This window comes from Homo sapiens, chromosome 8 (assembly GCF_000001405.40).
Source record: "Homo sapiens chromosome 8, GRCh38.p14 Primary Assembly".
Classification (NCBI taxonomy): Eukaryota; Metazoa; Chordata; class Mammalia; order Primates; family Hominidae; genus Homo; species Homo sapiens.
In genome coordinates, this window is record NC_000008.11 from 95,777,724 (window position 1) to 95,802,091 (window position 24,368).

Below are 24,368 nucleotides of genomic sequence, written 5' to 3' on the forward strand. Positions count from 1 at the left end.
GAAAGACATGGAGACAGGACAGACAGAGTATCCCACACTCTGGAACTCCTCCTGGTATGATATTGAATGGAATTGCTCCTGGCTTTACCTGGTGAATGATATCCTTCCCGAGCCCATGAATAATCTGACAGGGATCAAAATTGCCTCTGAGTAGCAGAGGCCCCAGATTACTCACACAACATTCAGGTATGCAAAGGAAATTAGCTACTTTATTTCTTTATACTTGATCTAATTTTTTAATGAGCCTTCCACCTGTTTGGGTAGGAAGAAAAAAAAACAACTATATTTAGTCCAATTTAGTTTAAAGTTAGTTTGGCCCAATTATTTATGCAGAAACTCTGTATTAACTAGTTTTTCTGCTCAGTTCTTCACAGCTATCTTCTTCCTTTCTTGCTTCTCTCTGGGTCCCATAGGCCATGGCTCCGGGGGAAGGGAGGCTATGGATTTGCACTTGTGCTTGGGTGTGAGGTGCCTTGTGTCTGCTGAGGAATGACTGGCACCACCCTATGGCTGGCGTCCCCAGCTGATGCCCACAGCTGACATCTGTGGCTGATGGACTTGTGGTCTATTTCTGCTTTGCTTGCTCAGAGTATGGGGGCCCCTCCAGGAAGCCTTGCCTCGTTCCCCACCCCACTCTTGCTGGTGAAGACCCTTTTGAGTCTCTCCCATATCTGCGACTTTTGGACCCAGCTGACAACCCTGGAACTGAGGCTGCAGGTCACCTCAGCCTCCATCCCAGCAGTCTGTGGCAGGTCTGTGGCTTCTCAGATTGGCATACTGTGGGAGGATGGGGAAACTCAGGTATACACATTTGTCCCTTTCTCAATCTGTATGTCCCACTCCACACTCTGAATTATAGGAGGCTCCTGTAATAGTTGTCTCCATCCAAACAAGGGGTGGGTCAAGAATCCCTGTGTTCTTACTCTGGTCCTAACATATCCACTGCCCTCCTCACACCATGGGGTTTGAAGACCCAGAGAGGAGATATTCAGCTGGCTGCATTCTTTCCCACTTCTCTGGGCTCTTCACTCCATCATTCTCTCTCCACAATCCCTTAGGTCTAGAGGAGGCAAACTTTTCTTTTATGTTCCCTTCTTTTCTCCCTTACATAAAACCATATAATGTATTCCAGTAGGACCAGTATTGATATATTAAAGGGAACCAGAGTAATTTAGAATATCATCACTCTATAATATTTGCCTTCAAGACCACTGTCTTGCTGTAAGTTCCTATTTTGAATGTCAAAACTCCAGTAATAATTTTTCTTTATTTTTTCATTACTTTGCAACAACATTATTTTGTATTGATTAAGAAGCTGATCACGGGAGAAGAAAAGAGAAATAACGTTAAAAAGAAAAGATAAATAATATTAACATCATTCAGAAATATTCAAAATATTATGTTATCACATGTGTTCTGAGAAAGAAATTGGACCACCAGTAGGGGGATAGTGGAAGGGAGAGATGTCCTCCCTGGGCTCCGCCCTCAGTGGGTTGTGCCTCAAGATGGCTAATGCATCTGACTGGTGCTGGGGCTTTCAAGATAGCAGCTCCTACTCCATCTCCTAGAAAGTGTCTGTCACTGTTTCTTCAGGCTCTAGGCTATGGGGGCCACCTTCTCATGGGATGCTGCCAAGATCCTGTGACTAAAAATGCAATCATTTTGATATTCTATCCATTCATCAAACATTTCTTGAGCACCTACTAGGTAATATACACTGATGCAAATGCTATATGGCACTGAAATGAAGAAGATGAGATAAAATAAATCTTCCAGAAAATATTTTAGCTAAGAATTTGAGCAGCTTGAAGTAGTGAAAGTAGTTGATTTCAGTTGCCTCTCCGTGGCTTTCTGAATAACAAGAGTTATTTAAGCCTCTTCATTTATTCGTTCATTCATCTTTCCTTTCAAGATATGGTTATTGATTATCCGTTATATGTCAGGTGCTTTGCTAGGTTCTAGGGAAGCTGAGATGATTAAGATATATCTTCTTACTCAAGAAGTTCTAGTTCATAAGGAATATGGGCATTTTACTGGCAAGAGTAATGCAGTGTTACATCTGTTCCCTTTACCCTTTGTTGGTGGACTGTGCACAGGTTCATTAAACCACCTGTAGTGAGCACCAGGAAAGGCATGGTCAATCAATTTTTGGTTGAAGGGGAAGGTGCTCAGGAAGGCTAAATGAAGAAGATGATGACTTAATTGAGACTTCCAACATTCACAGTGTATTCTTTTTCTGTTTGTTGTTCTCATATAAGCAAGGAAAGATTTCTAGGCAGAGTGAAGAGCAAGAGCAAAGGCCTGAAGGTGATCAGTGCATAAAGTGTCCAGGAAGCTACAAGCAGATGGAATGAGTATAGAAGGAGGCAGGGGACAGAAAGAGGTGGAGACCAGCTCCTTTTGCACATGCCAGACAGTGGGGACAGGGGCCATTTCTGGGTGGAAACTTTCCTGGTTCTTTTCACATCATACCCCTGATATGGTTTGGCTGTGTCCCCACCCAAATCTCAACTTGACTTGTAGCTCCCAGAATTCTCACGTGTTGTGGGAGGTAATTGAATTATGAGGGCTGGTCTTTCCTGTGCTATTCTCATGATAGTGAATAAGTCTCACAAGATCTGATGGGTTTATCAGGTGTTTCCGTTTTTGCTTCTTCCTCATTTTTCTCTTGCCTTCGCCAAGTAAGAAGTGCCTTTCGCCTCCTGCCATGATTCTGAGGCCTCCCCAGCCATGTGGAACTATAAGTCCAGTTAAACCCCTTTTTGTTCCCAGTCTCGGGTGTGTCTTTGTCAGCAGCATAAAAATGAACTAATATAGTAAATTGGTACCAGTAGAGTGGGTCATTGCTGAAAAGATGCCCAAAAATGTGGAAGCAACTTTGGAAGTGGGTAACAGGGAGAGGTTGAAACGTTTGTAGGGCTCAGAAAAAGAAAGAAAAATGTGGGAAAGTTTTTTTTTTTTTTTTTTAATGGAGTCTTGCTCTGTCGCCCAGACTGGAGTGCAGTGGCACCATCTCGGCTCACTGCAACCTCCGCCTCCCGGGTTCAAGCAGTTCTCCTGCCTCAGCCTCCCTAGTAGCTGGGATTACAGGCATGTGCCACCACGCCCAGCTAATTTTTTTGTATTTTTAGTAGAGACAGGGTTTCACCATATTGGCCAGGCTGGTCTCGAACTCCTGACCTTGTGATCCACCTGTCTCAGCCTCCCAAAGTGCTGGAATTACAGGCATGAGCCACCGCACCCAGCCCAAATGTGGGAAAGTTTTGAACCTCCTAGAGACTTGTTGAATGGCTTTGGCCAAAATGCTGATGATGATATGGACTATGAAATCCAGGATGAGGTAGTCTCAGATGGAGATGAAGAACTTGCTGGGAATTGGAGCAAAGGTGACTCTTGTTATGTTTTAGCAAAGAGACTGGTGGCATTTTGCCCCTGCCCTAGAGATTTGTGGAACTTTGAACTTGAGAGAGATGACTTAGGGTATCTGGTGGAAGAAATTTCTAAGCAGTAAAGCATTCAAAAGGTGACTTCAGTGCTGTTAAAAGCATTCCATTTTAAAAGGGAAACAGAGCATAAAAGTTCAGAAACTTTGCAGCCTGATGATACAGTAGAAAAGAAAAGCCCATTTTTTGAGGAGAAATTCAAGCCAGCTGCAGAAATTTGCATAAGTAACAAGGAGCCTAATGTTAATCCCCAAGACCATGGGGAAAATGTCTCCAGACCATGTCAGAGACCTTCACGGCAGCCCCTCTCATCACAGGTCCAGAGGCCAAGGAGGAAAAAGTGTTTTTTTGGGCCAGGCCCAGGGTCCCTGTGCTGTGTGCAACCTAGGGACTTGGTGCCCTGTGTCCCAGATGCTCCAGCCATGGCTGAAAGGGGCCAATGTACAGCTCAGGCTGTGGCTTCAGAGGACAGAAGCCCCAAGCCTTGGCAGCTTCCACATGGTATTGAGCCTGCGGGTGCACAGAAATCAAGAATTGCGGTTTGGGAACCTCTGCCTAGATTTCAGAAGATGTATAGAAACACCTGGATGCCCAGGCAGAAGTTTGCTGCAGGGGCGGGGAGTTCATGGAGAACCTCTGCTAGGTCAGTACAGAAAGGAAATGTGGGGTTGGAGCCGGTCTTTCCTGTGCTAGCCTCCTGATAGTGAATAAGACTCATGAGATCTGATGGGTTTATCATGGGTTTCCGCTTTTGCTTCTTCCTCATTTTGCTCTTGTTGCCACCATGTAAGAAGTGCCTTTCACCTCCCGCCATGATTCTGAGGCCTCCCCAGCCATGTGGAACTGAAGTCCAATTAAACCTCTTTTTGTTCCCAGTTTCTGTGGAACTGAAGTCCAATTAAACCTCTTTTTGTTCCCAGTTTCAGGTATGTCTTTTTCAGCAACATAAAAATGAACTAATACAACCCCAGAGAAAACCATCAGCTTATAAAGTCAATCACTAACCAGCACTTCAAAGGAAGGCCACATGCAAAGGGCTGGAGAGAAGGGAGAACTGATACTCTTGTTGTGGACAATCTGGTCTCATAATTTGGAAAAATCTGCCGGTGGCACCTGCTCCTTTTGTTACATCACTGATTCCATATCCCCAGTACCCAGAAATTTCAACACAACCATCTCCCTGGAGTGATAGGCAACAGTTTCCAGTACTCTGGAAATTTCCCCAATCATTTAAGATGTCAACTTGAATCATATGACTTTTTAAAAATTCACCCAATTTTGCTCCTCATTTTAAATTTCTTTCATTTTTATCCTCATAAGCTGCTCGGACCTGCACATAGTAGGTCCTCTGCACTGCGTATTTCACAAGCGCTAAATGAGATAAATGCAGCAACTATCGATTTTCCTGTTTTTACAGATATAACATGCAAAAGCAGAGGGTAAGGAAGGACTAGTTACAGAACAGAAATAGCTAATGATTATTAAGCACTTGTGTGTGCCAGGCAATATTCTTAGCAGTTATGTGGATTAACTCTTCAAATCCTCAAGATAATTTTGTGAGATGGGTACTACTGTTATTATACCTATTTTACAGATGAGGAAACTGAGTCACAGAATGTTTAAGTGACTCTTCCAACATCACACAGCTAGGTAGTGACAAGGTAGACATTCAAATGTAGGCAGCCTGCTTGAGTCCACACTCATTTATTTATTTATTTATTTATTTGAGATGGAGTCTTGCTCTGTCACCCAGGCTAGAGTGCAGTGGCAGGATCTCAGCTCACTGCAACCTCCGCCTCCCGGGTTCAAGCCATTCTCCTGCCTCAGCCTCCCAAGTAGTTGGGATTACAGGCGCCCACCACCGCGCCCAGCTAATTTTTGTATTTTTTAGTAGAGATGGGGTTTCACCATCTTGGCCAGGCTGGTCTTGAACTCCTGACCTCATGATCCACCCACCTCAGCCTCCCAAAGTGCTGGGATTACAGGCGTGAGCCACTGCACCTGGCCTGGAGTCTACACTCTTGTGGGCCACTTAGGCCAGGGATATGCCCATGAGCAGAGAGCTGGGTAGTCACAGGGAAGAAAAATTGTTTATCTATCTATCTATCTATCTATCTATCTGTCTATCTATCTCAAATCTGGGACAAAATAATTTATCCAACTCATCAAAAATATTATGAACAAAGAGGGAATTAAAGTTAACATTTGTTAAGTGACTTCCATGAACTGAGGCCTATGCTAGATGCTTTAGAGCAGGGGTCCCCAACCCCCAGGCCATGGACTGGTACTGGTCGGTGGCCTGTTAGGAACTGAGCCACAGAGCAGGAGGTGAGGTGTCAGTGAGCAAGCATTACAGCCTGCGCTCCACCTCCAGTCAGATCAGTGGGGGCATTAGATTCTCATAGGAGTGGGAACCCTACTCTGAACTGTGCATGCAAGGGATCTAGGTTGCAAGCTCCTTTTAAGAATCTTCCTAATGCCTGATGATCTGAAGTGGAAGAGTTTCATTCCGAAACCATCCTCCTGCCCCCCGCCACACCCCATCCATGGAAAAACTGTCTTCCATGAAACCAGTCCCTGGTGCCAAAAAGGTTGGGGGCCACTGCTTTAGAGTGGTCGCCACACTGAACGCTCACAACAGCCTGGGTCTGCATGAAATGGTGAGGTCGCTGCCAAGAGGGTGCCTGGGAGTGGTGGCTTGGACGTCCTCCTCAAGTGTCACTCTACAGCGTGCCCACTGCATGCTACCTGCACACAGTGTGGAGTGCAGAGAGATGCCAAATATCCCACACAGCCCCTATCAGATTTCAGGTAAACAATGGGGAGAACGAATGAAAAAGGAAGATTCCTTCTGCAATAATTTTAGTTTATGATGGATGGGATCCAACCAGATGCCAAGTCCTAGCTCTGTATTTCTTTATTTTTGTGGGGTTGATTAGCCCACAGGCAGCCTGCCAGGTCCCTGTCCTCTTCCAGCTCAACTTGCTTCAGAGGAAATGCCACACATGGAAGAAACGTTCGGGAATTGACAATTTGGTTACATATGCCTGGGGGACAATATAAAGTAACCACAGAACGATGTGGAGCTCTGTGGCTCCCGTCCTGCCTCACTCTCGCTATGGCTGTCCTGGTGAGCCAAGAAAGGCAGAAGTGGTTTTTGCAGCTAATTTTTACAGAGCCCAGACACACTTAAATATCTGTTTCCATCTGTCACTCAAATGTAACCTGTGTCTGCACAAAGCAAGCAGGAATAATTTGATACCTACTCTCTTAGGTCTCATTATTCAAAACAGACAGAAATAGTGGAGTGTCACCCACAAACCAGAATCAATGGTTAGCAGTCTCTGGGATCTCAAGCATATCACCTAATGTGCCCCTCAGTTTCCCTCTTTTTGTGGGAGGCAAATGAGATCAACCCTGGGGTGCTTGGAGAAATTCTTGATTCTAGGTAAATAAGAGGAGGCATGAGAGTTGAGTCTTTAGGAACACCAGGGAATCAGATCTATTTGAATTCCAGTGTTTCATTTGCAAATCACTTATAACCCCCAAGCCACTGATTCCTCATCTATAGTATGGACATGATAATAATGTTCACCTGTGAGGGGCATTATCAAGTTCAAATGAGATAATGCATTAAAAATGCTAAGCCCAACGCCATTCTAGAAATAAGGAATCAGTAATCATTTACTTTTTTGATTAAATAAGTCATCTTTATTCTCTATATCAGCAAAGAACTCTTGTTTAAGTAGGAAGCACCACAGAAGAGAAGCAAGCCAGATGATTAGAATGCATTAAACAGATCACTTGGCATTAATAAACACACACGCACACAAAATCTAAAAACAAAACAAAACATTTTCATTGGTATTTGAAATGGTCATCATATTAAGAAAAAGAAAAGTCCTAAAACTGGGTGATTTCCCAGACAAAATATATAACTCAGCGTGATAATCAAGAAAATAAAAACATGGTTTTGATGTATAGCTGAGGAATGCTGCACAGAGACGGGGAGTGAAGAAAGGGATATTGAGGGCTGAAGGGATTGAAAAGCATAGGATATTGAAGAAAGTCCACAAGTTGGTTGAAAGTTTTTGGCTTGGGTTTGGTTTATCTACCAGCCCTGAAAACAGCCTTCTGTTTTCAGATCAAAAGCCCTTACTGGAAATGTATCATGTGCCCCAATAAATGCCTTCAAGAATTCATTAAATTTGCACACAACTAACTCAACTAAGAGGAATGCTGTGATAAATTCTTTAATGAAGACCCAGCAAGATCACCCTTGGAGCATAATGGAGGGGGTGGAATTGGATACTGGCAAGGATGGAAAAAGATGACAGACAAATCTCCGACCTCCAGGGATTTACGGTCTGGCTATAGAGACAAGACAAAAGGGTTAGGAAAGGACTAACAACTTAAAGACAAGTTGTGACTAAAAGGGGCCAAGTTGTCTCAGAGAGCATATTTTTGCATACAATTTTGTGTTGATTAAAAATACTTTTTCATTTTTAATGATGTGATGTGATGGATATGTTAATTAGCTTGATCGTAGTAATCATTTCATAATGTCTATGTATATCAAAACATCACATTGAACACTGTAAATATATACAATTTTATTTGTCAATTATACCTCAATAAAGCTGGGAAAAATGAGATACAGGAAGATTTTATTCTTTAAAAAAAATTAAAAAGCTATTTCATGCATGAGTTATTGGATCAGAAGAAAATATCATTTTGCATACCTATTCTTCCCAAAACACCAGAAAACCTATGTCCTCTACTTGAGGAAATATTTTATTTAGCAAATAGGTATTGAGAACCCACTACGTGTATTGCACCTTAATATTACAGACCTGCTTTTTTTTTTTCTTAAGTCCAATCAGAACAGAACTAACCTACATGTGGAAGTGGTAGGTTTCTGTACGAAGGGGCTGTTTTGTCTGGTTCCAGACATGGCCTCTGCAGTGAGGCTGTGTGAGAGCGAGTGTGTGCTTCTACTCATTTATTCTGTGACTGAGCAATTCACTTAATCTCTCTGGGCCTCGGTTTCATCTTCAGCAAAGTAAGCATAGTAATGGAACCTGCTTTGTAAAATTGCCATGAGGATTAAATAAGGCATTGTATGTAAAGTTTTTAATAGTGCTTGGCAGATAGAAAATATTCAATAAATGAAGGAATAATATCATGATTACAGCCTAAGTAATACTATTATAATGTTCATAATCTGTTTTCCGTATACACAAAACATTGATAAATTTTATACCATCTCAGAACCAGTGGAACTGAGGCTGCTTGGAATATCCCTTCTCTTTGCCATCCACTTGACCTGACTAGTCTCGATTGGTTCTTTGGGAGCCCTTCAAGATCCCTTCAAAACCAGGGTGAGTGGCTCTTCTGTGTGTCCCTGGGGTACCGTATACGTAGTCTTGCCACAGCGATGTGGCTTTTAGAATGTGTTATAGATGTGATTTTCTATTCATTTGTCTGTTTCTGCCTCACTCACTACCACCATTACTGCCCACGAAGGCCAAGGGCTGCATCTTGTTTTTTGTTATTTCTCCAGGACCTAACGTGATGCCCGACATAATATTAAATACATATATGTTTCAAGGAAGGGAGGGAGGGAGCAAAGAGGAAGGAAGGAAGGAAGGAAGGAAGGGAGGGAGGGAGGGAGGAAGAAAGGCAGGAAGAAGGAAAAGAGAAAGAAGGCAGGAAGGGTGGGTAGAGGTGCTCTGGTCCTGGCAATGTAACATTTGTCTGAGTCTGCACAGCCTCTTCTCTCCCTGCTCTGTCCCTCCTGCCCTATAAAGTGGAGGGAAGTTTGAGCAATGAGAATGTTTTACTTACCCCGAATCGCCACTGGAGAAATCCATTGCATTACTGAGCACTGGTAATGGGTTGGCCCTGGTTCAGAATATAGGGTTTTGCTGCCCCTGCCAAGCAGGCTTATGCACGTGGGGCTTAGATGGTGCCTTGCCCACACCTGTCTGGCTCAGAGACCCTGCTGGGCTGTCAAGGGGAGAGCTGGGCATTGAGACAGGCTGATGGACTTTGACGAAAAAGAGAACCGGGCACACAGGTCTCATTTATAATCCATTCCAGCTGCTCCTCTGCTGGGGGAAACTGGCATTCTGTTTTGTTGGCCCCTTTTCCATCAGGACAGCTGTGAAACCCTACTCAGTGAAGTAATCGCAATAACAACCGCCACTTTGCATGTTGATGCCTTTCTTCCAAGGAACTCAAAGTTCTTTGGAGACATAACCTCATTAATCCATCCTGCTTGAAGTGGTGGCTGATGGGGAGGGGTAGGACTTCTTACTCATATTTCCAGGGCTCGGGGATTTAGGAAGAGAGAGTAAAAAAGGAAGAGAAAGAGGTTTCAGAGGTAGGAAAGATAAGCAATGGTATCCCTTTCCCCTTGAACCCCACTCTGGGACAAAGATAACACTTTGCAGGACAATACTCAGCTAAATGTGTGAGTAAAAGACACACACCGTATACTCCTCACTCTCCCTGAAAAGGAAGAGAATTCTAGATGAGGAGTTAGAAAATCTGATTTCTAGAACTGATATTGACACTGAATAGCTGTGTGACCATGAGCCAGCCCCACCCTTAAGAGTAGTAGTTTCATATTAGAGCATGTGACCTCTTGGTAATGTCGAAGAAGCACAGAACCAAAAATCAGTAGACTGATGCCTGCCTTGAGAGGGGCATGGTTTAAGATCCTGAGTCTCAATTTTCTTAGCTGTGAGATGAGGAAGTCAGACTGGATTATCTCTAAAGTTCTTTTCAGTTCCAATAAAACCAATGGTTTTAGAATTGGTGGGCTGGGGAATATCAAATCTGCTTGGGGCTTAGATTTTAGGAAAACCAACAACTATTTGTTTCAGTTTTCTATTACCGCCACTCCAAAACTCAGTGACTTCGATGAAATGGTAATTTATGATTTCTTACAATTTTGTGACTTGCTTGGGCAGTTCTATGGCTTCACCTCAGTGCCCAGCCCACCCTCAAGCTGAGGTTTGGCGGGGCAATGAGCTTAGCCAGGACATGTGAGATAGCTGGGCCTTGCTGGCCTATAGTCCTTTCATCCTCAAAAAGGCTACACCAGGCTTCCTCTTATAGTGGGGGCAGCACTCCAAGAGGGCAAGCCTCAGTGCTCGAGTGCTCATCAATCCTTCCTTCCTTCCTTCCTTCCTTCCTTCCTTCCTCCCTCCCTCCCTCCCTTCCTCCCTTCCTTTCTTCCTTCCTTCCTCTTTCCTTTCCTTCCTTCTCTTTCTTTCTTTTTCTTTCTTCTTGCTTTCTTTCTTTTCTCCCTTTCTTTTCTTTATTTCTTTCATGGGGTCCCACTCTGTTACCCAGGCTGGAGTGCAGTGGCACGATTTTGGCTCACTGTAACCTCCGCCTCCCAGGCCCAAGCGATCTTCCCACCTTAGCCTCCTGAGTAGCTGGGACCACAGGTGCAAGCCACCATGCCCAGCTTATTTTTTTGTATTTTTGGTAGATACAGAGTTTCACTATGTTGCCTGGGCTGGTCTCGAACACCTGAACTCAAACTATCCACCCATCTTGGCCTCCCAAAGTGCTGGGATTACAGGCATGAGCTACCATGCCCAGCCCAGCCCAGCCTTTTCTATGTCAAATTTATTGCTGTCTTGTTGGCAAAAGCAAGTCATATGACCCAGAATCAATGAGGGAGGGAACAACACAAGGCCATTGTTATGAGCTAAATCGTGTCCTTCAAAAACAGAAGTTGAAGTCCTGACCCCTAATACCTCAGAATGTGACCCTATAGGGTAGAAATAGGATAATTGCAGACATAATAAAGTTAAGACGACACTGTACTGGAGTAAAATGGGTCCTGAAATCAAAATGACAAGTGTCTTTATAAGAACAGGGAAAGACTCACAGACACAGAAGGAAGACAGACAAGTGAAGGTGGCAGAGATAGGAGTTATACTGCCACAAGCCAAGAAACACGTGGAACTACCAGAAGCTGGAAGAGGCAAGGAAGGATCCTCCTCCTAGAGGCTTCAAAGGGAGCATGGCCCTACCAACACCTTGATTTCAGACTTCTGAGCTCCAGAACTAAGAAAGAATACATTTTTGTTTGAAGCTACCTAGTTTGTGGTACTTAGTTACAACAGCCTTAGGAAACCAATACAGGCCCAAACACTGGGCAACATGGTTCTTTGGGAACCATTAGTCTAACAATCTAACATATCACCTATTTTAATGGGCATAAATACATAAGTGTTATGGGATTATTGTCCAAAATATGAGAAAATGCAGGTGTGATAGATTGCAATAATGATCTCAATCCTTTACCCTTTCCTAAATCCATGCCTTTTGCCATATGACTACATGTCCCAGTGCTGCTAAAGAGGTAGAGTGTATTTCCTCTCCTCCTGACGTTGCAATGGCCATGTGACTTGCTTTAGGGAGGAATGCCTGTATGCCAGTTTCTTAAGAGGGTTTTTATGTTTCTGCAACACACTGCCTGCTGCCACTGCTCTTGGAAGCCAGTCTCCTGTCGGAGATATTCTCTCTTGGTGCTCCCAGAGCAGTCTCTCCTAGGCTGAACACAGCACCTCCACTCTCAGCATGCTCAGGGTTCCAGAGCCATGTGCTACTTTCGGTTGAAACTGGAGAGAATGCCCCCATCTTTATAGGGATCAAACCATTACCTAGGCCAGCCACGGTCTTCCCTCCTGCTTCCTCCTTTTCCTTCCCTGGGCACAAGTGTCCCTAACACTTCTCTCTGGTGTCATTTTCTCCCATGCTTAGCATGCATGCCAATAGAAATGAGATCCAGCTTTTCCACTCTGGTTAGAGACATGCAAATGCCTTTATTACTGAGATGGGATCATACTATACCAATTACTCTGCAACCTGCTGTTTTTATTTAACATTATATCTTCTTCCATTACTGTAAACACAAACTCATGTCATCATTTTAATAGCTGCATATATTTCCATATGCACATAGAACCCTATTTTACTTAATTCTCTATCATGTAACTTTCTGTTTGTTTCCATTTCTACTTATAAATAATGCTGCAATAAACACACTTTTAAATTAACCTTTGTGTACTTGTTCAGTTATTTTCTCCATATAAATTCACAGAGCTACAATTGTATGCATAAAATGCTTTTTAAGGCTTTTGATATTTGTTTCCCGATTACCTTCTAGAAACACTATATCAATTTACACCCACCAGTGTATGAGTGCTAATTTTTTTATTTTCATATAACCACCATTTTTTACAACCTTTGCCAAGTAATAAAGTTTGCATTTATAATGTATTCTTCAGCCCATTTTATGTTTCTTTAGTTCCCTTTTAAACAATTGGGTAGCTTAAAAATGCATATCTAATGTTGAATAGAACAGGGATCACAAGAATAGATAATATTGATGAAACTAGAAATGAGCTCACAAAAAGAAACAGAGAGCAAGGAAGGAACAGATGCAGTATATTGAGGCACAGTTGATAATAGTAGTGCCTCATGGGTTTTTATGTGGCTCATTAATTTAAAGTGGCTAAGATGTGAGTGAATTCACACTGTAAGTCAGCCTGCTCAGGGAGGTTGGTAAAGCAGTATAGAAATACCAAGGAAGAGAAGATCTGGAAAAATATAAAATAATACATCAGGGGAGAAAATTATTCCAAAAACATGATACTAAGTAGGAGAAAAATGCAGTACTCAACAAAATATACTGCGGAGTAGCCAGATTAGATATGTGCTTGCAGAGTGAGAGGACTGAGATCAGCCAAGATTAATGGTTTGAGCATGGGCCTGTGCCTGCCATATTGCTCTAAGATGCGACTGGGTTCTGCAAACTGTGGACAAATCCACTTGGTTTAATACCTCTATATTATCTACAGTGGGTGGTGGTTTTAGAAAGGGAAGACCTGTTCTATCTGTTAGCTAGAGGTCAACGGAATTAAAAGGATAACATTATATCTGTCACTTTCATTCAGTGCTGATAGGAGGAAGTTGGTTCAGCCTCCCTAAAGGGTATATAACATATATGTGTTTGGTACATGTCAGAGGTTTAAACATATGCATACCATGTGACCCACAATCCTACTTCTAATAATTCATCCCAATTAAATGATTTAGCATTTACCCAAGGATTTAGCTATAAGGATGTTCACTGACCCACTGTTTATAAATAAATTGTGAGAAAATGTATATGCTGAAACCACTTTAAATGCTATTACAGAAATATATTTACTGGAGTCAACAGAAAATCATAATATACTCAATTCTTAAAAGCAGGTTATAGAGTATGACACAGCATTTGTATGTGTATGTTAGGGAGGACATGACAACAGTCTGTGAAGTTCCCATTAAGGACAACTATCATTGATGCCTGAGTTTTACCAGCTTCTTAATTCTCTTTTTATGCTGAGGTAAGGAAGAACTACTGCAAGGTTGTTTGGAATCCTAGATTTTAAGCTCTCATTTTTCCTCACTGTGTCTTCATCTTCAGAGTGTACTAACCTAGGAGTCTAGGGCATTGGGAGTGGGATGGACAGGGGTTGACATTATAACTACACCCTGAATCCAGAATCATGACTTTCTCCTTCAGTCCCTGTTTCTGAGTTTGCCCCAATTAGCTTGACTTTTAGGATGGATTCTTTCTCAGGGACTTCATAGATCTTATTTAATACTGGCTTCTATGGAGTGAACATCACTCCAAACATATACACACTAAGTTTGCCAAACATAACTATACATGTTAGAACCTCAAATTTGGACATGTTTTGAATTCCTTTCCCATAAGACTCCTCAGGCTCCATGTAGATCATGTGGAACAAACAGGTATTTGAGAAGAGCAGGAAACAGGTAGAAGGTGACACCAAATAACATATACCAAATGTATCTGAATCTTAGCTCTGCCCTACTCAGAATATCTTGTCACATGTGTTTGTGTGTATATTATATACATATACATAAATATATTAAATATTACTATTAAGTCTTGAAGGATATACATCAGAAACATCAACAGTCTCATGATGGAGTCATAGATAATTTTTTATCTATGTCTTCTAATTTTCTACAATGATCATGTATTTCTTATGAACCATTAAACATGAAAAGTAAATTTTTAAAGGTACTCTTAAAAGTACCATTTTGAACAGCCACTGAGAGGAATCTATTAGTTCATCTTCAGTCATTCTATAGTGACAGCTATTACATTGGTTTTTGATCCCAGTGCTATCAACTCCATTGCTTTTGCATCTTCTTATAGTAATTTTTAGTCTTTTTTAAAGGATCCAATCCATTATTTCACAGCAAACCTACACATGGTCTGTTTATTTGGGATTGACAATTTTGATGAGTATTGTGGAAAGAATAGGTAAGGTATCCAGGTTTGAAAATACATGAGAAAGCCTTACAGAGAAGCTTCATGAAACACTTGGGAAAGCAATTGGAAATTATTGTAGGATTATAAGGGGTACTGTACAAGCTGGAAGGTTTGTAGTATGATGGAAGTGGCCAAATTTATGATAAAGACACTGCCTTAAAGTGCGGGAGATGGAATGAAATGTGACTGCAAACAGAACAAATAGAGACTCCGGTAAGGACTGGAGTGGGGGAAGTGAAAGAGATAAACGCAGATTCCAAATTTATGGTAGAAGAAGAGGAGGAGACACTTGGCAGCAACCACAGATTGACTCCTTCAGTGTCTGTTCAATTTTTCCCCAACATTCCAGCCCCTCTGACTTTACGTGGTGCTCAGTGGGCTGCCCCACCCTTCAGATCCACCCAGCCTTGATCTCAAGAGTGACCTCCATGTTCATGAAGGCATTCAGCCACTATTTGGTCCAGCCTCAACCCCACCAGCCTTCTCAGAGATGGGGCATGCCAAAGTTCTTTCGCAAGTATGTAGTGAGAGTTTGAGTCACACTCTTGCTTAAGAGGATACTCTATGCATTTTCAGACGTATGACTAACTGGGCAAAAAGTTTAAAGAATAAAATTCAGAATAACAGTGTTCAGCAGGACAGTTGTTCTTTGCTTTCCATGTTATTTGGGGAGCTTAGGAAAAGGACAGAATAAGATTGGCCTGAAACACGGAACACCATAAAGAGACAGATAGAGAATCAAAGTCCCTGAATGGCATTTAATTTCCATGTTGCTGTTTTTCCTGGTCTGGTTTCAGAAATCCTCTGACAGTTGGACTATTTGCTATTTAGTCATTCTACTGTACTCATTTTACTGACAATCAACAGGCATTGCCTAATTTGACACTGAAATGAAAAAAAAAAAGACCAAAGTAGATTACAATGTAAAATATACATTTAATTTGATGGTACTTTTTGAATATTTTCAAATAAAATATCAATCATAACAGCAGCAAATATCCACTGTTGGAAGACATTTAAGTACATTCGGGTTTTAGCTAAAACAGCTTGCAATAACTAGATTTAAAAAAAAAAAAAAAGCCTAATTGGAGGCTTTCACATTAGGTTCTGACACACAGTTTTTGGTCCCCTTGTGTCTTATTTCCAAGATGGTAGCACCTGGAAAAACATGCAGCTTGATTTTCGTAATAGATATGAGCTCAGATAGTAAGGACTGCATTACAGCAGTTCCTTTGAAACGGGTGGCAGTTATTGCTGGAGTCCAAGTGGCTGAATCGCATGCTTGGAAATAGGAGTATATTCATCTGTTTGTGAAAATCACCAGGCATAGACCGTTTCCACCCAACACACCGTAGAAACTCGCAAGCCTCCTGTTACCAGCAAGAATTGAAGCCAAAACTCAGCAAGAGCAATGCCAGATAATTGCTGCTGTTTTCCTTAAGCCTTTATTTTGAATGCTGGACCTTGCATTACTATACATTCTTTCCTAAGTGAGAACCTTCTGCCAGACTAATGACAGTGTCCTTCATGAGGCAGTGGCAATTTCCAGCAAATCCCTGACCCAAAAAAAGTGTCCAGTGTGTGTTAGCTTTTCATCACGACTTGATTAATTACCCCAGGAAACTTCATTTCATTCTGCTTGCTAAAATGAGAGTAATTAGAGCAGCCTTTGACCCTTTCTTCCCTACCCCTCTTAGTTTACAGTGAGCTGTGAAACGTGATAAGTTAATTCTTAAATATAGACTTTTATGCCAAGAACAAGTATCTCCTATTTGACTTGCTCTTCCCCCACAGGAAGTTGGTATTGTTTGTTTAAGAATTTGACATCGAGCCTTTTTGTTAGATGAAATTGAAAAGAAATGTCCTCCAGATGACACAACTGCCCTGTCAATACAGGGTTCATGAACTTGCCCTTTATCTTAATATCTGTAGTAATAACTGGTCTCCTGCCCCACGTGGAAGGTACCGTTTTCATTACCAGTTTGAACTAAATGTGCAACAGGGCTAGATCCAGTAGGTAAGGATCCACTGTAATGAGATACACAAACACCAAAGGGATTGCATTTGGAAGTTAAACACTCAATTGTTCAGGTGTTTTGAAACACAACCTTTGATATGTTTGGAGGTGCGCTGTGGGCTAAAGGAAGCTATCTTGAATTAACTCATAAGTATGAATTTTCAGACTTTAATAATATACTGTTTATTCAAGATTATAAACACGGTTTATGTGTAGTATGGAAAATCTGGGAAACAAAGAAAACTATAAAGAAGAAAATTAAAACTAAAATTTTTAATTCTACCTACATAGATAACCACTTCCAAAATTCTGGTACATTTCTTTCCAGTCTACTTTGTATTGAATTATATAAATATATCTCTCACACACACAAAAAAACTAGATCTTGCACTATAAACAGTTAATTGTTTTATCATGAGCATTTTCCCATGTCGTTAAGCATATGCCAAAAACATGATTTTTTTGTGGCTGCAAAGGTTTCATAACATAAGAAAGTCTCTCCCATGGTATCAAGAGTACCCTGCATTCTTACTGAAATGCAGTGAACAAAGAACACCATATAGTTGCTAGAACACCTCAGTTGCAAGAGACAAAAACACAAATAAGTGTGATTCTTGCTCCATGTGGAAGGTACTGCACCTGTTTGAACTAAAAGTGCATTCTTGCTGAAACGCAATGAACAAAGAACACCATATAGTTTTCAGGAATCCTCAGTTGATATCTACTGTTCCAGAGTTTCAGCTATTGACTTCAGGTCTCAAAATCTCTCCTCTGTCTCCCTCTCTCTCAGCAAGAGAGCACTGACATATCTAAGCCTACTTTCCTCACAGATTGAGATCAACGAGAAAGATAAAGTACTTTTTTTCCACTCTATCTTTTTTATTTAACTTTTATTTTTATTGTATTTTATTTTATTATTATGATACTTTAAGTTTTAGGGTACATGTGCACAATGTGCAGGTTGGTTACATACGTATACATGTGCCATGCTGGTGTGCTGCACCCATTAACTCGTCATTTAGCATTAGATATATCTCCTAATGTGCCACATTTTCTTAATCCAGTCTATCACTGTTGGACATTTGGGTTGGTTCCAAGTCTTTGCTATTGTGAATAGTGCCACAATAAACATACGTGTGCATGTGTCTTTATAGCAGCATGATTTATAGTCCTTTGGGTATATACCCAGTAATGGGATGGCTGGGTCAAATGGTATTTCTAGTTCTAGATCCCTGAGGACTCACCACAATGACTTCCACAATGGTTGAACTAGTTTACAGTCCCACCAACAGTGTAAAAGTGTTCCTATTTCTCCACATCCTCTCCAGCACCTGTTGTTTCCTGACTTTTTAATGATTGCCATTCTAACTGGTGTGAGATGGTATCTCATTGTGGTTTTGATTTGCATTTCTCTGATGGCCAGTGATGGTGAGCATTTTTTCATGTGTTGTTTTTTGGCTGCATAAATGTCTTCTTTTGAGAAGTGTCTGTTCATGTCCTTTGCCCACTTTTTGTTGGGGTTGTTTTTTTCTTGTAAATTTGTTTGAGTTCATTGTAGATTCTGGATATTAGCCCTTTGTCAGATGAGTAGGTTGCGAAAATTTTCTCCCATTTTGTAGGTTACCTGTTCACTCTGATGGTAGTTTCTTTTGCTGTGCAGAAGCTCTTGAGTTTAATTAGATCCCATTTGTCAATTTTGGCTTTTGTTGCCATTGCTTTTGGTGTTTTAGACATGAAGTCCTTGCCCATGCCTATGTCCTGAATGGTAATGCCTAGGTTTTCTTCTAGGGTTTTTATGGTTTTAGGTCTAACGTTTAAGGTCTTTAATCCATCTAGAATTAATTTTTGTATAAGGTGTAAGGAAGGGATCCAGTTTCGGCTTTCTACATATGGCTAGCCAGTTTTCCCAGCACCATTTATTAAATAGGGAATCCTTTCCCCATTACTTGTTTTTCTCAGGTTTGTCAAAGATCAGATAGTTGTAGATATGCGGCGTTATTTCTGAGGGCTCTGTTCTGTTCCATTGATCTATATATCTGTTTTGGTACCAGTACCATGCTGTTTTGGTTACTGTAGCCTTGTAGTATAGTTTGAAGTCAGGTAGCATGATGCCTCCAGCTTTCTTCTTTTGGCGATGCAGGCTCTATTTTGGTTCCATATGAACTTTAAAGTACTTTTTTTCCAATTCTGTGAAGAAAGTCATTGGTAGCTTGATGGGGTTGGCATTGAATCTATAAATTACCTTGGGCAGTATGGCCATTTTCATGATATTGATTCTTCCTACCCATGAGCATGGAATGTTCTTCCATTTCTTTCTATCCTCTTTTATTTCATTGAGCAGTGGTGGTTTGTAGTTCTCCTTGAAGAGATCCTTCACATCCCTTGTAAGTTGGATTCCTAGGTATTTTATTCTCTTTGAAGCAATTGTGAATGGGAGTTCACTCATGATTTGGCTCTCTGTTTGTCTGTTATTGGTGTATAAGAATGCTTGTGATTTTTGTACATTGATTTTGTATCCTGAGACTTTGCTGAAGTTGCTTATCAGCTTAAGGAGATTTTGGGCTGAGACGATGGGGTTTTCTAGATATACAATCATGTCGCCTGCAAACAGGGACAATTTGACTTCCTCTTTTCCTAATTGAATACCCTTTATTTCCTTCTCCTGCCTAATTGCCCTGGCCAGAACTTCCAACACTATGTTGAATAGGAGTGGTGAGAGAGGGCATCCCTGTCTTGTGCCAGTTTTCAAAGGGTATGCTTCCAGTTTTTGCCCATTCAGTATGATATTGGCTGTGGGTCTGTCATAGATAGCTCTTATTATTTTGAGATATGTCCCATCAATACCTAATTTATTGAGAGTTTTTAGCATGAAGGGTTGTTGAATTTTGTCAAAGGCCTTTTCTGCATCTATTGAGATAATCATGTGGTTTTTGTCTTTGGTTCTCTTTATATGCTGGATTACATTTATTGATTTGTGTATATTGAACCAGCCTTGTATCCCAGGGATGAAGCCCACTTGATCATGGTGGATAAGCTTTTTGATGTGCTGCTGGATTTGGTTTGCCAGTATTTTATTGAGGATTTTTGCATCAATGTTCATCAAGGATATTGGTCTAAAATTCTCTTTTTTGGTTTTGTCTTTGCCCGGCTTTGGTATCAGGATGATGCTGGCCTCATAAAATGAGTTAGGGAGGATTCCCTCTTTTTCTATTGATTGGAATAGTTTCAGAAGGAATGGTACCAGTTCCTCCTTGTACCTCTGGTACAATTTGGCTGTGAATCCATCTGGTCCTGGACTGGTTTTGGTTGGTAAGCTATTGATTATTGCCACAATTTCAGATCTGTTATTGGTCTATTCAGAGATTCAACTTCTTCCTGGTTTAGTCTTGGGAGGGTGTGTGTGTCGAGGAATTTATCCATTTCTTCTAGATTTTCTAGTTTATTTGCGTAGAGGTGTTTGTAGTATTCTCTGATGGTAGTTTGTATTTCTGTGGGATCGGTGGTGATATCCCCTTTATCATTTTTTATTGCGCCTATTTGATTCTTCTCTCTTTTCTTCTTTATTAGTCTTGCTAGGTCTATCAATTTTGTTGATCCTTTCAAAAAACCAGCTCCTGGATTCATTAATTTTTTGAAGGGTTTTTTATGTCTCTATTTCCTTCACTTCTGCTCTGATTTTAGTTATTTCTTGCCTTCTGCTAGCTTTTGAATGTGTTTGCTCTTGCTTTTCTAAATCTTTTAATTGTGATGTTAGGGTGTCAATTTTGGATCTTTCCTGCTTTCTCTTGTGGACATTTAGTGCTATAAATTTCCCTCTACACACTGCTTTGAATGTGTCCCAGAGATTCTGGTATGTTGTGTCTTTGTTCTCGTTGGTTTCAAAGAACATCTTTATTTCTGCCTTCATTTCATTAGTACCCAGTAGTCATTCAGGAGCAGGTTGTTCAGTTTCCATGTAGTTGAGCAGTTTTGAGTGAGTTTCTTAATCCTGAGTTCTAATTTGATTGCACTGTGGTCTGAGAGACAGTTTGTTATAATTTCTGTTCTTTTACATTTGCTGAGGAGAGCTTTACTTCCAAGTATGTGGTCAATTTTGGAATAGGTGAGGTGTGGTGCTGAAAAAAATGTATATTCTGTTGATTTGGGGTGGAGAGTTCTGTAGATGTCTATTAGGTCCACTTGGTGCAGAGCTGAGTTCAATTCCTGGGTATCCTTGTTAACTTTCTGTCTCATTGATCTGTCTAATGTTGACAGTGGGGTGTTAAAGTCTCCCATTATTGTGTGGGAGTCTAAGTCTCTTTGTAGGTCACTCAGGACTTGCTTTATGAATCTGGGTGCTCCTGTATTTGGTGCATATATATTTAGGATAGTTAGCTCTTCTTGTTGAATTGATCCCTTTACCATTATGTAATGGCCTTCTTTGTCTCTTTTGATCTTTGTTGGTTTAAAGTCCGTTTTATCAGAGACTAGGATTGCAACTCCTGCCTTTTTTTGTTTTCCATTTTCTTGGTAGATCTTCCTCCATCCTTTTATTTTGAGCCGACGTGTGTCTCTGCACGTGAGATGGGTTTCCTGAATACAGCACACTGATGGGTCTTGACTCTTTATCCAATTTTCCAGTCTGTGTCTTTTAATTGGAGCATTTAGTCTATTTACATTTGAAGTTAATATTGTTACGTGTGAATTTGATCCTGTCATTATGATGTTAGCTGGTTATTTTGCTCGTTGGTTGATTAAGTTTGGGGTAAAAGTGCAGGTTTGTTACACAGGTAAACTTGTGTCATGGAGATTTGTTGTACAGATTATTTAATCACCCAAGTATTAAGCCTTGTACATAGTACACATCAGTTATTTTTCATGATCCTCTTCCTCCTCTCAACCTTCACCCTCCAAAAGAACCCAGTGTGTGTTGTTCCCCTCTATTTGTCCATGTGTTCTCATCATTTAGCTTGCACTTATAAGTGCGAGCATGCAGTTCCTCAAAGACTTGAAGACAGAAGTACCATTCAGCCCAGCAATCCCATTACTTGGTATATATCCAAAGGAATATAAGTCGTTTTACTGTAAAGACAGACACATGCATATGTATGTTCACTGCAGCACTATTCACAACAGTAAAGACATGGAGTCAACCTAAATGCCCATCAAAGATAGACTGGATAAAGAAAATGTGGTAATATACACCATGGAATACTATGCAGTCATAAAAAAAGAATGAGATCATGTCCTTTGCAGGAACATGGATGGAGCTGAAGGCCATTATCCTTAGCAAACTAACACAGGAACAGAGAAAGTACTTTTCTTAAAGGTCCCAGCGAGACCCATGGAGATAATATCTGATTAGCCTCATAAGGGTCACATTCTTCTGTGTAGCTGACTGTCCTCCTCATAGTAAACACTTCATACACATGAATCCCCACATGACCTTACCGAGTTCTTCAAGTTCTAGTTCATCTGTCTGTCAAATGGGAACATAAACATTTGTTTTATAGAGTTGCTATAAAGATTTAACATTAGGTCCTTAAAAATACTGGTTTTCTTTTCCCAAAATATCTACTTTCCTTTCCTCCCCTCTTCAGTGAAACACACACATTGCATTTAAGAATTCGTTTCTATAATGAGACCACATGGGCACAGGAAGGGGAACAATACACACAGGCCTGTGAACCCCCGGGGGTGGTTGTGGGGAGAGAGAGCATCAGAAAAAATAACTAATTCATGCCTGGCTTAATACCTAGCTGATGGGTTGATAGGTGCAGGAAACCACTATAGCACACATTTACCTATGTAACAAGGCTGCACATCCTGCACATGTACCCCAGAACTTAAAATAAAAAAAATAAAGAATTGGTGTCTAAATGTGTGGCCCATGGCTCTGAGCTGAACAGTTGGTGCAGGAAATCATGTGACTAATTTTTTTTTGTTTTTGCAGTCTCTGCACCCTACAATACACCAACTGGCAGTTCCATCATTTGAAAGAAAATCTTCAAGGTAAAGACATTTACAATGACACAAAAACCTTTCAAAGGCATCATGGTCCTAAAGGGCTTTCCCCAAGGGACAGCACAGTGTGTTCCAGGCCCTGACAAGAGGTGAGTGTGTGGGCACGGGTGTCTCGTGAGCCTGACGCTCTCCATCCCTCTCTGACCATTTATGCCTTTGTCTGTCTGTGCTTTCAAAGGTCAGACCCTTGTGAGAAATACTTGCTCTATTAATCATCTTGGAAGACTGCTCCAGACACATTTTCAGAAGGGATGCAGTAAGTTTTGTCTGCACAGTGCACCCTGGGAAAAGAGTTTCCCTTCTGAAAAGCAATCTTGCTTTCAGCCAAGTCTTGTCTTTTCCTTTTTTTTTTTGTAAAGCAATGAAGTTATTGCATGTTCCAAAGGCATCGTGAGGTACGGCCACCCCTTTGGCATGGCATGTCTGTATGCCCAGGATGCATATACCCAATTAGTGAGTTCCACATGACTGCTGGTGTTGGCAAACATCTACATCCAGCTGGTGCTCAGACTTTTGGGGATCAGTGGAAATTTTAACAATTATTTGACACAGACTTATTCGGTCAGAGAAACGGTTGTATCACAGAGAGCTAAATGTCCAGAGCTAATGAAAGATGATGCAGTGATTAGATTGACTTGCAATCTGGGTAATAATTTTTATACTTGCATTTTGACCACATAAATAAAAGAATGGGACTGATTTTCCGACTGCATTGCATATGAAGGGAGGAGAACGTTATTCTCTCTTCCCTCTTCATCTGAATATTAGAACTTTTTAAACCTTCAAACATGGCAGGGGCACTTCCACCCATCATTTGAATGAAAGCCAGTCTCACCTGTCTGTCTTTCCATTCAGCAGGGAATCACTTCATGTGTGAAGCAAGCAAAAAAGATAGACATGTAAGCGCTTTCTCTGTCTCTTGTAGAATTTTTATCTTTTGGCCTTTTCCACTTCCTAGTCTGCATATGACCTAATATCCTATTCCTCATGGCCAACTCTTGATAACAATGAGAAAACAAGTCCTGATAAATGTGTTATGTATTCATTAAGCATTTCTATCTTGTAAGACTTTTTCGTTTTTGTTTTGTTTTTGCAAAATCATGACAATATCTGCTATATTTCAGATATTGTTTTAACAAATCTGTAATCTGAATGAAAGCAGGATTCGTTCTATAATTCTCAGTTTGGATGAGAAATAAATGATAAACAATGTCCCACTGGAAGAGACCCCTCCAAAACATCATGCCAAAGGAGGGAGACCACCATATTCAGTGAAAATATTTAACACCTTGGACTGTTTCCCAGTGGGATGCAGACCAGACAAGAAGAACAATTCAGGCTGCTTAGGAGACTGTCTGGGGATCTCTGTGAATGGCATCTGCACTGGATAGATATTTCTTCCCCTCAGATTCCTGCTCCTGTGTATGTGCACGACTTACAGCTGAGTCATACTTTTCAAGAATGAATGTGGGTGTCACAGTCAGTGATCTGTGATCTATTCCTGCTCCTGTGTATGTGCACGACG

At 41.0% G+C, this 24,368-nt stretch overlaps 1 long non-coding RNA gene across 9 annotated transcripts in view; it reads left to right on the top strand.

Annotated features, from left to right (window-relative positions):
• Window positions 1-24,368, top strand: part of CFAP418-AS1 (CFAP418 antisense RNA 1) — a 541,308-nt gene that overhangs the window by 508,888 nt on the left and 8,052 nt on the right. For 4 of the 9 annotated variants that reach the window (NR_038201.1, NR_038203.1, NR_038202.1 and 1 more), the window contains one exon: window positions 22,773-22,932. The exons of 3 other annotated variants lie outside the window; for them this stretch is intronic. This is a non-coding gene — a long non-coding RNA (CFAP418 antisense RNA 1). Of the gene's footprint in view, window positions 1-8,714; window positions 8,825-22,772; window positions 22,933-24,368 lie in introns of all 9 variants that reach the window. 2 more of the 9 variants (NR_038206.1, NR_038208.1) reach the window with 2 other exon arrangements.